We start from the raw sequence: 19,172 nt of genomic DNA, 5'->3' as shown, positions 1-19,172 counted from the left end.
GTTTTTTAGTAAAAACTGATTTACTCACATTATTGTATGGATTGTACAACCTCACAAGCAGTATCACAGACAACTCACAGGATTCCAAGCAGAAATTCAAAACCCAGGCATAGTAAGAATACTTAGCTTTTATTTGCCAGCAGGACAACCCCGGGCATTATTGCTCAGCTGAGGGCATATTTAATTACCAAATGCTCTGCAAATGTCTTCCAAATTGTATAGATAAAGCCATCTAAATTGCTGACTTTCAAGAGGATATATTTCTTCCTTTATCATAGAAATGCCCGTATTCTCTGATAAATTTGCATTTCCAATGATTCACCATTCATTTCAAATTCATTTTAATTTACAATTATTTTCTTAAATTCTTCTAAACAACTGGGAATCTGTAAAGTGCATTTGCTTTATTTCATTAGATAACTAACTTCATTGCTACCTGAGCAGTTCTTTGCTTCAGAAAAACATGCAGCACTCCTGCTGTTTCACTGTACAGGCAGCATACTCACCATGCCAGCCAGATTTAGAAATGATTGCTTTTGCTTGTGGATTACAAGAAAAGACTTCATATCATATATTAATTTTTAAAATGTTTTCTTAAGCCCCATTTTAGCCTTTACAGCAAACCCAGAGGCCAAGTAAAAATGAATGGTTATAATATGGTTTTGTTTAAAGGCACGAAAGTGAGCCATAGCCTTTTCCCATGTCACATCTGGACACTTCCATTATGGTCACTTAGGTGTCTGATGGTTTGTCAGAAAGCTAGCTATAACTTAGGTGGAAAACTGGACTCCATTAAAAAAACATTAAAAGCTGAGAGGGAGGCAAGTTGATGTGGCATGGCTCCCAGCACTAAGAAAGCAAGAGTGCATGGTGAAGCTTGGAAATAGAAAGTGATGTCCTCATAAAAACATGGCTCTAGGCTGCTGTGCCACTAGAAATTCTTCTGTCAGTTTAGAATATTTCGCTTTAAGGGATTTCGACTTTCAAATGTATCTTTGGATGCAAAATAGACTGCACAAGAGGAGATAGCATAGAAGAAGGGAAAGAAGCGTTTGCTCCCAATTATGATCAGCTTACGTGAAACTGAAAATTTCTTTTCTTCCAGATGGAATATTTGATTAGAAAGGGGGCAAGTAGATTAGATGAGCTACCTTGCTGACATCAAGTGATCCTCTGGCCTCCATAACTAGAAAATGTTGCTGATAACTGATAGAGCTAAACAATGTTAAAAGCTTCAGCACTACTGGTTATCAGGGGAACCTTTCAGCCTAATTGGAAAGCTCAAAGCTTCAGGCGTCTGAAATTTTTTGGTTTGGGGCTCTTCTACAGCATTCCAATGCAGTATATCTAATCAATAATGTGATGCTATGCACAATACCATCACGAGGCTTATTAACTCCCCTGAGTTTTGTATTTGACTTGTTAAACTGTAAAAAGAGTTGGAGAAAACAAACAGAAAAGAAATATCTTGGTCCCTAGCTGCCAAAATATAAAACAAATATACAAACTCCAGTGCTCAAAGAGAACTGAAAAGGTCAAAATGGAAAATATATACAGACGTACTTTCATGCACAAAACATGAGCATCTTGGATGACTTCTCTTAGTGTGATCCCTCCTGTGTTTTAGGCAAAGGGGGCATCCATCCAAGAAATTCATTTACGATGATGTAGGTTCAACTCTAAAACCTATGGACATGAGGCTTTTTTCCACAGCAGACTGTGGTACTTTTCAGCCCACCCTGGCTACAAGCAGTGGTTATAGCTGCAGCAATTAGGGGCGGGCATCCCAAGGAAGTTCAGTATAGTCAGTTCCTCGGAGCGACAGCTGTCTGCATTTGGGATACTTCACAATTTTCTTAACCAATCTCCTTGCACAGAACTAAACAGCAGAATCTTCACACTCTGGTGACTCTGACAGAGTACACTTGATTCAGATGTTTGTGAAATTGTCTGCTCCAGAGAACTTCCACTGAAATCATCAGGGAGGTTTCGACAGCAACAACCAGAAAAAGTTCTTCATTTGGTTTTGAATTTTCCTTTTCCCCCAAAAGTTCACCAAGCTGCCTCCATAAGAGGTGTGAAAGGGAACATAGGTGGTACTAAGAACTGAGTGAGAGGTAAGGAGCAGAAGTTGGAGTTCAGATCAAATCTAGCACCTGCTCCTGCCCTATGATGGGAAACAACAACCTCTGGAAACACACGGCACAAGCCTCTTCTCTGTGCCTGAGTTAAGAGATACACAGACCTAAATTTGAACCTAAAGACATATATTTACTCACATTTTAATATTTCTGAAGTCATACTGCAGCCCACATGCGCTGTCAGCCAGCAGCAGTCAGCCTTAGTTGTCATTGCCTATACACGGGCATGAAACTGTGCAATGGCTAGGAAGAGAATCCTGGAGATGAGTGGGGACATCTCTTAGGAAATACTACATCACCAATGCTCTTGATGGCAAAGAGGGTGATCCTGTGCAGCCAAACATGAACTTGATGACTCCAAGTTGGAAAATAATTCAGATGAATCAGACTCAGAATCTGAAGTTTTGTAAATACCTTAACTAATTTATTTCATGTATACTTTCCTTATTACATATGCACAAGAGATGTATATGAGAGAAATCCATGCCAAAATAAGTTTAAAATCTTTTTCAGGGTCTCACTCTGTCGCCCAGGCTGGAGTGCAGTGGCTCAATCTTGGCTCACTGCAACCTCCACTTCCTGGGCTCAAACAATCCTCCCACCTCAGCCTCCTGAGTACTGAGACTACAGGCGTGCACCGCCGTGCCTGGCTAATTTTTTTTTTGTATTTTTGTAGAGACAGGGTTTCGCCACGTTGCCCTGGCTGGTTTCAAACCCCTGGGCTCAAGTGATCCGCCCACCTCTGCCTCCCAAAGTGCTAGGATTACAGGCGTGAGCCACTGAGCCTAGCCAAGAAACTCTTCCAATAGGTATACAATAAAAATTCTAAGGAATAAAACAATTACTGTGGTATAGTTGTGGTGGTATATCTTTCTTTCTTCACGGTACATAAAATCAATAAAACCGGTGACATCTAAAATTCAATGAAATATAGCATTTTTGTGACCTGGAAGAGTTTACCTAGCTGCTCTGAGCTTCAGATTTGTCTCCTAGAAAAAGAGAATAATAACCCCAACCTCTCAGAGAGATGGGGGCTGACAGAGCCAGCTCAGATAGAGTTCACAGAAGTCTATGTCCAACATTGTCTGTTCCCAGTCAATAGTAGTAGCTACTCTCCTCTTGTCATTTATCTATTTCAGCCTGGATACAATGCAAATACCACAAACATACTCGATTACTTATCACGGTGTACTTTACTTTGTTTGTTAGACTCACCAGCCATGCACCAAGTGGACAAAAAAGCACAAAGAGGGCCTTGATGACTAGTGTATTTTTTTGGTGATCATCAATGAAGCAGATAAAGTGAAATGAAATGATTGTTTGAATCCAGTGTTCTAATGGTAGAATAATTGTGACATCAAAACAGATTTTTTTAAATGCCACTCCAGTGGAATAGAAATGAATACTTCAATATCAAAGAGGGTAGAGAAAATTGCTTTTTTTTTAAAGGAAAACTTTGACAATCAAAGAATGAACCAACTAAAATGCCAAATTGTGTTTAAGTCAAAAGGTTAGATGATAGTTATTTTTCTCTGATTCCAACAAACAGGAAAAGGGGAATATGCAAATGAGCAAACGCAACCTAAACTAAAATTAGCTTTTATTTTTACTTCTTTTTTTCCTTTTAGAAAATCCAGTATTAAGTGGTTGTTTCCTTTTAAAATAATAGAGAAACAGAGCCAATGGGCTTCCAGTTTCCATTTTCATTCTGTCTTAGTATTTTCCTCCACAAATCGTCACCATAATACTGTAGATATCTCCTTTCTGCTTTGTAAGGTCACAGTTGGTAGAGTCATATACAGAAAAGAACAAGTTAGCCCCCTTATGCCTTAACAAATGTGCAACCGTGCTCTTTTAAAAGACTAGATGGCTCTCCAGAGCGACAGAAGGACATCAAAGTAGAGAATATGAAGACAAGCTAACAATCATTAATGTATTCTTAGAGGCATGGCCTCTATTAAAATGATGGGATTACAATTTATGACCAAATTGTAATCCCTTAATTTTAGGTCAATGTACACCCCAAACAAACAAAAACACAATCTGTTTTTAATGCATAGGGCGGGAAAGATAAGATAGAATATAACACCAAAAGAAAATAATTCTGCATGATGGAGCCTCCTGGAAGAGTGAACTGAATAAGTAAGCAGGTGGACATCAGCCTTCACCTGAAGTGCCCTTCTTCCTTCAGTCCACTAACCTAGGCATTTGGTGTTGCTGTTGCAGTTGTAGGATATTTATGAGGCCCATTATTTCATGCTGTCTGCTGTTGTGTACTTTTGCAAATAAATATTTTGCATGTCCCAAAATAAGCTCACAGGTGGAGATGGCAGCACACCCAGAGCCAAGAACAGGCCCGTAAACTGACATGCCATGGCTTTGAGCTCCCATGACAGCACAGCTGCTGCTGGAGTTAAGACAGAGTGTTCCCTGTGCCTCTGCCCCTCTCTGCTAACCCAGTCCCACATTTTTAGATAAATATAGCTGAATAGAATCTATTCAGAGAAGGTAGGGCAAAATGGTACAGACTTTGGGCTCTCACAACCCCACCAAACCTGCTCTCTTTAAGGACACCAGTGACTTAGTAGCCAAATCTTTTGGACAGTTTTTAGCATCTTTCTTTTCCTCTCTTGACCACATTCTTAAAATCCTCTCCTTTCCGGAGGGCTTCAGGACACCATCCTCTCTTGGGATTCTTCTTCACAGAAGCTATGGTCTCTGCCTCTTGTGTTTCTCTTCTTCTTCTTCTTCTTCTTCTTCTTCTTCTTCTTCTTCTTCTTCTTCTTCTTTTTCTTCTTCTTCTTCTCTTTCTTCTTCTTCTTCTTCCTCTTCCTTCTCCTCCTCCTTTTCTTTTTCTTCATCTTCTTTTTGTTGTTCTTGTTTTTAGAGACAGGGTCTCACTCTGTTGCCCAGGCTGGAGTGCAGTGGTGCAATCACGGCTGATTGCAGCCTAGAACTCTTGGGCGAAAGCAATTCTCCTGCCTCAGCCTCACGAGTAGCTGGGACTACAGGTGTGCATCACTATGCCCAGCTAACTTTTTTTTCTATTTTTTGTAGAGATGGGTTCTCATTATGTTGCCCAGGCTTGTCTTGAACTCTGGGCCACAATTGATTCTCCCACCTCAGTCTCCCAACATGCTAGGATTACAGGTGTGAGCCACTGCACCCGGCCTTGGGTTCCTTTTGACACCCCTTGAATGCTGGTTTTCCCCAGGACCTTCCCACTCAAGCTGTTGTTCAAGAGCCAGCAGCATGGATACCACCTGGAGGCTTGTCAGAAATCCTAATGATGGGGGGAGGGGGAAGGGATAGCATTAGGTGATATACCTAATGCTAAACGACGAGTTAATGGGTGCAGCACACCAACATGGCACATGTATACATATGTAACAAACCTGCACGTTGTGCACATGTACTCTAAAACTTAAAGTATAATAATAATAATAATAATAATAATAATAAAAAGAAATCCTAGTGCTCAGGATAATGCTTTGAGAGCAAATCTACCTCCCAACATCTGCAATCTGACTCTACCTTTCTCTCCCCACTGTGACTATCTTGGTCTATGACCTGATCATCCCTCATCTGTAGTATTAATCAGTCACTTAACTGGTCTTTCTTACTCCATTCTCTCCTCTTCCATCAATTTTTTAATACAAATTTTATCATGTCTGGGGCAAGTTGAATAAGACCCCTAAAAAATATTTACATTCTATCCCTGGAACTTGTGTTACCTTACATGGAAAAAATCGACTTTGCATGTGTGATTAAGTCAAGAATCTTGAGATGAGATTATCCTGGATTACCCAGGTGGACTCGGTGGACTCTGAAGGGGTCTTATAAAAGAAAGGCAGGAAGATCCGAGTGAATAGTTGGAGATGTGACAATAAAAGCAAGAAGCTGGAGTGATTTAGAAGCAAGAAGCTGTAGTGATTTGAGGAAGGGGCCATAAGCCAAGGAATGCAGATGGCCTATAGAAACTGTAAAAGGAAGCAAGGCAATGGATTCTTCTCTAGAGCCTCCAGAAGGAACATAGCCCTGCTGACAGTCTGATTTTTAGACTTCTGACCTCCAGAGCAGTAAAATAAAAAATGTTCACTGGGATCACTTGAGGCCAGGAATTTGAGACTAGCCTGAGCAACATAGTGAGACACTGTCTCTACCAAAAAAAAAAAAAAAAAAAAAAAAATTAGCTGGGCCTAGTTGTGTACACCTGTAGTCCCAGTTACTCAAGAGGGCTAAGGCAGGAAGATTGCTTGAGCCCAGGAGTTTGAGGCTGCAGTAGGCTATGATCATGCTACTGGACTCTACCCTGAGTGACAGAATGAAGCCCTGTCTCAAAAACAAAAGGAAGGATCTCCTTAAAAAGGAGTTTAAGGCTGGATGTGGTGGCTCATGCCTGTAATCCCAGCAGGCAAATCATTTGAGGTCAGGCATTCGAGACCAGCCTGGCTAACATGGCAAAACCCCGTCTCTATTAAAAATACAAAAATCAGCCAGGTGTGGTGGTATGTGCATGTAATCCCAGCTACTCAGGAGGCTGAGACATGAGAATCACTTGAACCCAGGAGGCAGAGGTTGCAGTGAGCCGAGATTGTGCCACAGCATTCCAACCTGGGTGACAGAGAGAGACTGTCTCCAAAAAAAAAAAAAAAAAAATGCATTTTAAGATGGAATAATCATAGCATCGTCCTCCTTGGGTTACTTGATTATAGGTCAAGACAAGATAATCCATCCTAAGTGCTTGGCACCACACCAGAAACATAGTAATTGCTCAATACTTTTAGTTGTTAACTACACTTTATTAGCATTCAACTAAAAATTGTTAACATTTATTAAGCCTTTATTATATTCTAAGTATTGTTAAGTGTTTTACATGTAGGCATTTATTTAATACTCACAACTACCCTCTCAAGTAGATACAATTATTGTCATCTCAATGATGAGGAAACTGAGGCACAGGGGTTACATGGCTTGCCCAAAGTCAAACATTAAGCAACAGAGCTGAGATTCAAACCCAAGCAGCCTGACTCCAAGTCCTGTACATGTAATCACTGTGCTACATATTTCGTTGATTCCAGAATGCATATTTTTTCAGTCAATGATTATCATAGTTTAATTGGCTGGTTTCTTTTTTCCTGTGGAACATTGTATGAGTCCGTTCTCATGCTGCTAATAAAAGACATACCTGGGACTGGGTAATGTATAAAGGAAAAGAGGTTTAATGGATTCATAGTTCCACATGGCTGGGGAGGCCTCACAATCATGGTGGAAGGCGAATGAGGAGAAAAGGCACATCTTACATGGCAGCAGGCAAGAGAACGTGTGCAGGGAAACTCCCCTTTATAAAACCATCAGATCTTGTGAGACTTATTCACTGTCACAAGACCAGCAGAGGAAAACCCACCCCCATGATTCAATTACCTCCCTCAGTCCCTCCCACAACATCTGGGGATTATGAGAACTACAATTCAAAATGAGATTTGGGTGGGGACGTAGCCAAACCATATCAGACATAAAATAACGTTACATCTTACAGTTGACGGCATCTTAAATTCCATGGTGTAGAATGTGCTGCTTAATGACACAGTCAAGGTGGAAAAGCTCTGGCTCCTATGACATTTTCACTCTCATTTCCCTTCCAATCTCAATCCAGAAGAGTGATTCTGATGATAGGGAGTAGATGAACAGACAGAAAGATGGAAAGTGCAAGACTTTTCAGGAAACTGAAACTTTCTTTTGTTGTTAGGAGAAGGCCAGGGCTAGGAGTCTTACTCTTACATTCACTTGGACAGGGTGGGAGACTTGAGGGACAGGGCTAGGTCAGATGCAGCCTAAACGGGAGCCACTTGTCTCTCTCCTCACCCAGAAAGTGTGGATGTGCGGGATTCCCAGAGTGTGTTCACAGATGGGGGTGAAATGCTGGCCAAAGTTCATAGCAACAAAGGCCCAGAAACAAATTAATAGAGTAAGATTCTGTGTATAACCCTGAGGGGAAAACTCTTCCTTAATTAGAGATCAATTCATACAATAGGACCAGAGCTCAAAGAAGCTTCCTTCTACTAGTGTCTCTGATCAAGCTTGCACTTAAGCCAATACAGAATTAAGTTTAGCAAGAGATATGTAAACAGAACCATTCCTGTTTTATGATAGGAAAATTATATATATTCGAAATCCCTGTTTGTTCCTTTTCCAGGGGTCCTTAGGTCCCTACCCTAAGAGACTTGGAATGGGGAACATCCTGAGACTGTAATTCAGGTCTTATATTTATACATCTCAAAGCCCCTTGTGGGCCTTTCTCCAGGTATTTGTGGACCAACTGTAAGAATGAATGAATGGATGTAATGAACAACAATATTCTCAGAGTCCCAGAAGTCTAGGATAGGAGATGGTTTAGAGGAGGCTGCTTGGGGTCAGGAGGTCTGGAAACAATAGTAGGGACATCTGGTTGGCTTTTAGGGAATTAGGAGCAAGGTCATGTTCACAACTACATTACATATTGTACTGGACCCAAAATCTCCAGAATGTTCTTAGGCCCTAAGAACTCCAAAGAAGTCCTAAATATTTTAAATATATTTTGGGCTTTTTTTTTTTTTTTTTTTTTTTTTGAGGCAGAGTCTTGCTCTGTCATCCAGGCTAAAAAGCAAGTGGCACGATTTCAGCTCATTGCAACCTCCACCTCCCAGGTTCAAACAATTCTCCTGCCTCAGCCTCCTGAGTAGCTGAGATTACAGGCATGTACCACCACACCTGGCTAATTTTTGTATTTTTGGTAAAGATGGGGTTTCACCGTGTTGGCCAGGCTGGTCTCAAATTCCAGACCTCAAATGATCCGCCCACCTCGGTCTCCCAAACTGCTGGGGTTACAGGTATGAGCCACTGCGCCTGGCCTTTAAAATATTTTGGACAGACAGAAATGTGGAAAGAAACTTGCTGGCTGATACAGGGCTGAGCTATTCTGCTGGACTGAAAAGTAGTGAAACAAGAATGACATCTGTAAAGACTCAGAGTCACAAGCAGAGGTTGGTTTTGAAGCTTACCTTGAGGACTTAAAGAGGAAGTGAAGCCTGGGTGCAGTGGATGGGGAGAGATGATTAGGAAGGTAAGGGGGAAGAGGGTCTGGCACGGTGGCTCACGCCTGTAATCCCAGCACTTTGGGAGGCCAAGGCAGGTGGGTCGCTTGAGCCCAGGAGTTTGAGGCCAGCCTGGGCAAAATAGTGAAATCCCATCTCTACAAAAAAATTGCAAAAATTAGCCAGGAGTTGGTGGTGCGCACCATGTAGTCTCAGCTACCTGGGAGGCTGAGGTAGGAGGATGGTTTGAGCCCAGAAGGTTGAGGCTGCAGTGAGCTATGATGGTGCCACTGCATTCCAGCTCTGGGCAACTGACCAAGACCCTGTCTCAAAAAAACAAATAAAATAAAAATAAAATAAATTTTAAAAAACATCAAAAAAAGATAAGGGGAAAGAGAGCCTAAGAGTGATGAAGGCACCTTCACTTCTAGTTGAAAGGAAAGCAAGAACAACTGTCATGAAGAAGAGGAAGAGGAATGAAAGGATACAAAGGAAGGGAGGGAGGGAAGGAGGAAGGGAGGACTCCCACAGAGTAAGACTCACCAAGAAGCCCAAAAGTAGTCACGTACTGTGACTTTCACTACCGAGGAACAAGCACCCTGAAGCCCCTCTACTCCTTTCCCCAAACCTCAACAACCCAAGCTGTATGTGTCTTATTGGGGAAATAACTTACAAAAATGAAAAAGCCCTTAGGTTTCAAATCCCAAACACCCAAAAGATTTTAAAAAGAAATATGCATACATCTAGTCACTGAGTAATAACTCGAGTTGCTAACACAATAACTGTAATTAGAACAACAAAGATTCTCTCAGGTTTTGCCTATGAAACATACTAGGTGCAATCGGGGGAGGTGATATGTTGATGCTTTATAAGCAACCCAGACTTAAATGCAACTTGGGTGAGTGTCTACTAGTGAGGAGAAGAGAATTCATTTTGTCTTATGTAACAGGGAGTGTCTGAGTATGAGAGCTGTATTGGGCAGCTAGATCACCCCACAAACTGGGTTTGATATTATAATTGGGGGTGACTCCCAAGAGAAAGTCCGCAGCAGTGAACTTGAGGAAAACGAGCATACTCCAGGAATAAGAAGAAAATGGCTAATAGCAAGCTGAAGGGTAAAGAAAAGCTCAACCCTCAGAATCAGCTGGAGGCAGTTCAGACACCATGTGGAGGTGCACAAGGTCTGAATGCCTCTGAGCACAAAACCAAAGCCTGAAAAGAGGAGGTAAATTAAAGACTGTTCAACAGAAAGTGTGTGGATTTTTGAAAGCAGCCTTTAAAAACTGCACACTTTATCAGAAACTAATGAAACAGAAGAGTCCTCTCCCTCTTCTCCCCTACTCCCTTTACCATCACTAATCAAAAGAACTGAAAAATAAAAGATCATGAAAATTTGAAGCAGGGAAAAAATGAGACAGACAGGGAGGGGTTGGTGAGGAGAAGAGAATTCTACATTTGAAGATAGAATCCTACAGGTGAGACTGGGGGCAAGAGTTTCCAATTACAGGGAAGGGTGAAAATGGCAGAGAAGATATGAAATATCTTATTTGTGTTTGTTCTGTACCGAAAATGAGGATCTTCCTACCCCAAGGACAATTTTTACAGAAAGCAAAATGTACTGTGAGAGACGATGGAATCTCTCTACATGTTCACAGAGCAGCCCAAACAGGGCTGTTCCAACCACCACTGACAGCTGATGGCATGCCCTGACCCCCACACTGCAGCTATGAGGAGCCCAGCAATGACTCTCATGGGTCCTCCACCCACCCCCAACTAAAGCAATCACCGTGAACCCAACCAAAGCATGAACACAAACACCCAGAGAGGCATCTCTCTTTTTTTTTTTAAGTAGAGACCAGGTCTTGCTATGTTGCCCAAGCTAGCCTCGAACTCCTAGACTCAAGCAATCCTCCTGTTGGCCTCCTAAAATGCTAGCATTACAGGTGCAAGCCACTGCACCTGACTGCGTCTCCATTTTTAATCAGAAGCTACTACAGTTCTCCTGCCTCCAATTTTTCTTCCCCTTGCTGGGTCTATCCATGTTCTGCTCACTGATAAGTCTGGAAAAACTTGACTTTCTCTGCCCTTTCTACCACCCCAGGGAGGCCTTGGACTATCTCTGAGGTTATTGCTCAACCTTCAGTGACCCACCTCAGCACCTCACCCCCATCTCACACTCTTCAGTGTGAATATTCTCTTCCATTCCCACAAATCCATGGTCACAGACTTGGATTACATGGTCCATTTTCCCTCTGCTCTGCCCTTCTGTGAGCTAGAAAGGTTTGCATACCACCTGGTATTGTTCTCTGATTATTTCCTATATAAAACATTTCATTGGCTAAAACTATTCTATTTCTGATTTGTACTTGGGAAGTAAAATGCTAATAAACACTTAATGGGTTGACAACATTTTTGGAGAGGTTGAAATGTTTTGCTTTCTTTATTCTGAGAAGTGGAGGATAAGTTAAAGATACAGAATTTCCCTTTCAGTTGCTTGCCTGAGTGAAGCAAGAAGGTATTGATGTGACAATGCTTCCACTCAAATTCACATAATCCCTAAAAATAAAAACAGAGGTCGGGCATGGTGGTTTACTCCTGTAATCCCAGCACTTTAGGAGGCCGAGCCAGGCGGATCACGAGGTCAGGAGTTCAAGACCAGCCTGGCCAATATGGTGAAAACCCCTCTCTATTAAAAATACAAAAATTAGCCAGGTGTGGTGGCACATACCTGTGGTCCCAGCTACTCAGGAGGTGGAGGTAGAAGAATTGACTGAACTCGGGAGGCAGAGGTTGCAGTGAGACGAGATCGTGCCATTGCACTCTAGCCTGGGCAACACAGCGAGACTCTGTCTCAAAAAAAACAAACAAAAAACAAAAACAAAAAAACCCAGAAATCTGTGTTTCAGAGATTATTACCCGTTTTTTAAACACGGCTTTATAATAGAAAAAATAATATATAATTTGGCTTTTTCCTTGAAACCCAAGATACACATAATCTACCACACACACACACACACGTCTGTATGTACATGTGTGCTTTTTTGCATGTGTATTACATGCCAAGGGCTTTATATATGTTATGTCTGATCCTTCTGACACCACCACGAAGTAATATTAATTGTCCCCATTTTATAAATAAGCAAACTGATGCCCAAAAGATTCATTCAAGCAAGGCTGTGCAACTAGTAAATGGCAGGACCAACTTTGGCCTGATGTTCTTTTCACCGCACCACACTACCTCTTTCAGATGTCCAAGATGGAGCCACATAGCTTGGTTATGGGGTTCCATTAGTCTGCCCTCTTATCTTATTTCAGCACCTACCCTGTGGCCATGAACCATTGATTCATAATTTTCCTGTACTTTCAATAGAATCAGGAACCACCAACCCTGACAAAGCTACCATCTATTGGCTCTAAGTTAGAACTAAAAGGTGGTTGTGGAGAATTGCTTCCCACAGAGAACTGAATTCATCCTGAGGGAAATCTCAAGGCCCTCTCCTTACCTCTTACAAATAGAACTATACAAAATATTTAAACAAAGAATATGGACTTAGCTGTGCTCTCTAAAGGTTCCTCCTCTAAGTAATGTGGACCAGTGTTTCTTTCTTTTTAAAAAAATAGAGATGGGGTCTTGCTGTTTGTCCAGGCTGGTCTCAAACTTCTGGCCTCAAGTGATCCTCCTGCCTTGGCCTCCCAAAATGCTGGGATTATAGGTATGAGCCACCATGCCCAACCTAGACCAGCATTTCTAGTGTGTGATGAGGCTTACTTGCATCAGAATGTCCTTAGGTGATGGTTTTGAATACAGATTTTCACACTAAATTTACTAAGTGACCCTCTCTAGGGCTGAGGTCCTAGAAATCTACATGGGATTATTACCTTCATTCCAGAAAACACAGTAAAAGTACGGCATTATAATTTTATGGGAACACCACCCAATATGTGGTCCCTCATTGATGGGAATGCACTATGTGGTTCATGACTACAGTTCCTCCTTATGGAAGCTAATGGTAATTAAATAATCCCATAAAGGAATACTTGCAAATCGATTAATACTCAAAAGAAAAAGTCCAGTGAACTAAGAGTGCTTATTACAGAGAGCACTGATCTGGTCCCAAAGGGGAGAAAACCTTCCCTAAGGAAGTGATACCTGAGCTGAAGGATGAACAGGCATTACTAGGCTAGAGGAAGGAAACAGCATTCTACTTACAGGAGATGCTTCTTGTGCAAAGGCTCTGGAGCAGTGAGCTGAGCTGGAAGAGCTAAAGGAGAGCAGCAGAGGGTACTCAGAGTGGGAAGACAGGAGCTTCATGAGAATGCAGAGGGAGATGGGCCAGATCAAGCAGGTCCTTGGGAGATTTTGGTCTTTACTCCAAGAGCAGAGAGAAACCATTGACTAGATGGTTTCATTTTTAATCTTTTAATGTTATTTTCAAATTTTATTTTTAATTTTTTTATGTTTACCTTATTTTTTATTAGGAGCCTACTGAGGCCCAGGGCCTTTCTATCAGCAAAATAAGTCTATGCCCCAGGAAGTAAAGTCTCTGCCTGCCTTCACTGCAGTTCACAGTTTTCCTGCTTGTGAAAGGGAGAAGCAACCCCTCTGCATAACACAAATGTTGTGGGCAAAATGGGTAACTGACTTGATTTCTATATTACAAGTCAGTGGCTTAGGTTCATACTCTTTTCAAACATCTCTTCTTACTGTCCAGGCAGCTACTACTACAGTGCTTAACCAGGGACAGGGAGTTTAGAATTCTGCATCAACCAAGTCTTTTGTTGACCATCAAGGACATTTGGAATTAAGCAAGCCAAGGGTAATCAATTCTGATGCTTTAGGCTATTAGACCACCCGTGGGGTTTGGGAGATATCTCCTGTTGTATATAAAATGGTACAATGGCTTCGTGTGTGACAAGCTCTCCTCCCTCTCGCCCTAATGGCCCTAATGTATTACATAGTGGCCTCTGCCAGAGGCAAGTACCTGACTACCTTTTGCAGGGTCCAATTCAGTTTGGGAGAACTTAGAGTCATTAAGAAATAATGGAATTTGTTTTCATTTGCAGAAGCACAACTTCTTTTTCTTCATCAAGAGGAAATGTGAATATCTACATCTATAATCAATATGAAACTACATATAGAGACATAGAACAGGCAGAGAAAACTGGGAGAATCTTCTAACTTTAAAGTGTTAAAACTTAGACCTCCTCAAGATTTTTTCTGTGATTTGGCACATGTGATGTACACCCGGGCAGAGGGTGCAAGGCCTTTCTCTTCTAAAAGGTTCAAGTTTCACTGATGTGAAGTTGGGGAAAGTAATTACTTAGAGAAAGAGTGGACAGTTTCCTTTGGATAGAAGCTGTCTTATACACTTAATTTCCTGGAGGAGGTAATATCAGCACCCCTATCAGGTTCTCCTAGTCTAATTAGGAAAACGACATTGTCAAGATTCTTCAAAATTAAAAGCCAGCCAATTAGGCTGTGAAGATGTTCCTTTAGAACTTTCTTTTGTTGGGAAACACCTTTCCCTTTATTTATCACCAACAGAGTATGTGGAAAGGCAAAGGGGAGAAGAAAGATGTTATGCAAGTTTTAAAAAAATGGGAATAGAATACGAATAGGTTGTCCAAAGAATGAAGACCTTGTGTTCTGTTCTCTTCAGTCCTATCTGTGTCCATTCGGCTTCCAGGCATCCTGCGTTGGACCCTGTAAATGAAGCCAAGTTACAGGGATTATGACCCAGCAGGGTAGTGCAGGCATATTGATCAGCATGGGAGCATTGGAAAGGTATTTTCTGCCACTTGTCTACTCATCTGCCTCCCTGTCTCCCTCCTTCCTCGTATTAAAAAAAATAGGTGTGGGCATGGGCAATAGAAAACTCAACCTCATCGTGAATAGTTACCCTTCCTTTGGGGCAAAGCCACCCCTTTCCTGCTAACTCACAGGACAAAGGTCTTACTGAGGTTCCTAAAGAGCTGCACTGTAAACCACTATGGCACACATTTACCTATGTAACAAACCTGCATGTCCTGCACATGTATCCTGGAACTTTAAATTAAATTAAATTTAAAAAAAGAGCTGCACCCTGTTTGATATATCTGAGTTATGCATTTGACAAGCACACCAATGAATGAGCATGTTAACTCCTCCCAGGAACCAAGCTCTGTCTACAGAGAGATCATCATAGAATCTCAGGAGCCCTTCCCACGGGTATGACATCAGAACAACTACAAGAGTCAGAGTCTTCATAGAAAAGGGAAAGAGAAAGAAGGAGGAGGAGGAGAGGAAGGAGAAAGTCATTAGTTTCTTCCTTCAAACAAGGAGCTTGATATCCCATGGATAAAGAAATTGGCTGATTTGATGTCTCCTGTTTTATTTACTGACTTTTGCGACAGAACAAATTATTTGAAAAGTTTATTCACTGTTTTCGTTTACATATGCTTCCTATAAGAGCCTGTTTTTTGTCTAGGAAGCCAGAGATGGATATAGAAAAGAGGGACTTGAGAGCAAGACAACTGGTTAGGAATAACACAAATGCAAGGTTTCCTCTGCTACAAAAAGTGCTGGTCCTGGAGTCAGACGAAGGCTCTTTCTCCTCTGCTATATGACTTTAGGGAAGTCATTCTTTCTCTTTCCTCATCTTCAATAAAATTAGATTAACAACCCTGGGTAAAAGAATAAAATGAAGCAGTGAAGGTGAGTGTTTGGTAAATTGTACAAATACAACTTCTCATTGTCTCTGTCTGAATAAGGAGTGTTAGAAAATAGGAACGTTACCACAGGAAAATACCAGGACTAGGTAAAATAATGTCAGCGCTAGCTAAGGCTAAATATATCAGAGATTAAAATATAGACTCAAAACTGTGTCATGATGCTTTGAAACTTAATATGTTGTCTAAAAGTGGAGAGTAACATTATCATCTTAGTTTACTTTCTGGTTCTTCCAGGAATGACAATGAGAACTTGTGATGTCCATGAATTCAAAGAAGAAAAGGGAGAGTGGTTTTACACCTTCTCCACCACCTAACCCCAATCCTACTACCTATAAACCTGCAAAGAAGCAGACTGCTTGGGCTTGTGTTTGTCCTTTAATTTATTTATTATCAATTTTACATTTTTTCTTAAGTTTCTATCATAGGGTTAGTTCTTTCTAGATCAAGCACAAGGAAAAACCTCAGTTCTTTTGCACTGATGCATTTCTAAGAGAACGAAGACACAGTTCAGGGAGGATGAGTTGAATAACCCAGTATTTAGAAAAGGCATACCTCTAAATATGATTATGACAGGCCACTCTGCCATCAGCACCAATCTTCCTTACAAATAATTCACAAAATATAATCAAAGATGAACTGCAGATAGAGGTCAGTTTTCAGGTTGAATAGATTTTAAAATCAGAGAGTGGCACCCTTATAGGAAATGAAGAAAGCAGAGAAAAATGTGTTTTTACTCTTTAAAATCTAAAAGGTTCTCTTGCTATTATTTCCAGAACAACAACAACAACAACAACAACAACAACAACAAAAAGAACTCTATTTTCAGAAAATAAAAGAGCACCAATAAAACTGTAGCAAGTACAATGAGACCAGAGGTAGCTATTTAGGCTAAATGGACACAACAGGCATCTCTAGATGGCCACAGAAATTACGAAAGAAAATCAAGGCTTTAGCTACCTCTAACCCAATCCAAACCTCAAAAAAAAAAAAAAAAAAAGTAAAAACAGGTTTTTGTTTCACGATTCTAAATAACCAGTTCATTATTTTATGAATCTGCAAGCTGTTGTAAATTTTGTATTTTCACGTACAAGTTCACATCTACACAATGACAAACACATAGGACATGTCTAAAATATTGTCAAACACCAGGCTATTTTGCCTACATAATTTCAAGTATCCAGACACACCATTTAGCAATTTCCAGTGATTTGATTTGGCTCAGAATATCCAAGTTTTTATACCACAGTGAAGGAATCTGCAATGAATGGGGCATTTTAGCTGTGCCGGACAAAGAATGGTGATCAGACCCAGCTCCCACTCACGCTGGGTCTTCAATGTGATCAACACATTGACCATGTGGTCAACACAAGGTCCTGGGGTTTCTGCCCCACTTCTTTATGGGCCATCGTGACCAGGTGTAACTCAGATGTAACACTAATTATGGAGAGAATCAGAGAACTAGATGCCTTGCTTTGTTTTTTACCGTATTGTACTTTTTTCCTCTCACCTGTTTCTTAGAGTTTAATATTTGTATATTTTACTCATTTTTAATTGTGCCAAAAAATATATAAAATTTTCCATTTTAATGATTTTTAAGTGTACAGTTCACTGGCATTAAGTACATCTCACGTTGTTGTCCAACCATCACCACCATCCACGTACAGATCTTTTTCATCTTCCCAAATTGAAACTCTGTACCCCTTAAACAACAGCTCCCCATTCTTTCCTCTCCCCAACCCCAGGTAAATACTATTCTACCTTCTAACTTTATGAATTTGACTATCCTAAGTACCCTACATAAATGGAATCACACGATATTTGTCCTTCTATCTCCACTCTATTTTGATATTGCCAGAAAATCCAAAAGTTAGAAAGAGTTAAACCCTGGGTATGATCAATAAAACTAAAATAACAAATATGTATGAATACTGGCCATCTTCTGGGTTCTGAGTTAGATGCTTTCTCTTTGATATCTGTCTTTACTACATAAAGATAAGTTTTAAACTATGTATTTGTTGTAGAAGACCCAAGGTTTAGCTTCTTCTCCCCCCAAAAGACATCTTTAAGTAGGCTTTACTATAGGAAGAAAACCTGCAGTAATGCTTGCCCTTGCCTTGGGGAAATAATGAATAATAGGAGTATAATAATGCTTTATCTGTGAAAATCTTCAGACACAAAGAAACAAGATAAAAGGCTGATGAGTTACTACCATTATCTGCAAGCTCTTTCACAGAGGCTTTGTTTTGTTTAGGGACATCTACAATTAGAAAAGAAATAGACACACCAACTTTGTTTTCTCAGCAGGAGCTGCTGTACGTTTGGTACAATCAATTTCTTTTTCCTTTTTTAAAAATTAAGATATTCATTATGTACAAAGCAACCTTAGAGGGACAGATTGAGGATTTAATTTCAGATTTTCATGTCTGACTCTCATAACCAGATGGTCTTTACACAATGGAAGTTTTGTACCATCAGTCATCATTGTTTCTTATCACTACTATTATTAATGTTATTAGTAAAAGTAATGTTGAAATCATTTAAACGTCCATACCGAATAGTCCTGTTGATTTGCTCCCCATCTCCCAGTGCACATTTTAACTGATCAGGCTAATACTCATTAAGACCCTAGAAACTGCTTTCTCTCCTGATAACTTTAAAGAAAGTGCAAAGATTCTTGGTATCAGCAGCAATTTGTTTACAGCGGCTCTTGCCAGAGTTAGAGTTAATACTTTGTTTCTTTTTCTTTTTTCTTTGTGTTTTTGTTTTTTGTTTGTTTTTTGAGCGAGAGTCTTGTTCTCTCCTGGCTGCAATGCAGTGGGGTGATCTTGGCTCACTGCAATCTCTGCCTCCCAGGTTCAAGTGATTTTCCTGCCTCACTCTCCCAAGTAGCTGGGATTACAGGCATCTGCCACCATGCCCAGCTATTTTTCATATTTTTAGTAGAGACGGGTTCACCATGTTGGCCAGGCTGGTCTCGAACTCCTGACCTCAGGTGATCCACCTGCCTTGGCTCCCAAATTGCTGGGATTACAGGCATGGGCCACTGCACCTGGCCTTGTTTCTTGTTTAATTATTACTTATTGACAAGATATTTTTGTTGTTCTTGATCTTTGGGGGTGTGTGTGTGCACGCGTGTGTGTGTGTGTGTGTGGTTTTTGTTTTTTGTGTTTTTTTTTTTTTTTTTGGTGGGGGGAGGTTGGCTATAGCATATTCACAATTCTTTTTCTTTTAAATACATTTTATATGT

The 19,172-nt window shown here is 40.7% G+C and overlaps 1 long non-coding RNA gene across 1 annotated transcript in view; it reads right to left on the bottom strand.

Moving 5' to 3' along the window:
- Positions 1–19,172, bottom strand: part of LOC102725227 (uncharacterized) — a 33,938-nt gene that overhangs the window by 6,990 nt on the left and 7,776 nt on the right. The window lies entirely within an intron of this gene.

The sequence above is a fragment of the Homo sapiens genome, chromosome 18 (genome assembly GCF_000001405.40).
Source record: "Homo sapiens chromosome 18, GRCh38.p14 Primary Assembly".
Lineage (NCBI taxonomy): Eukaryota > Metazoa > Chordata > Mammalia > Primates > Hominidae > Homo > Homo sapiens.
Note: the sequence above shows the minus strand (reverse complement) of the source record. Positions and strands in the feature narration are given on the sequence as shown.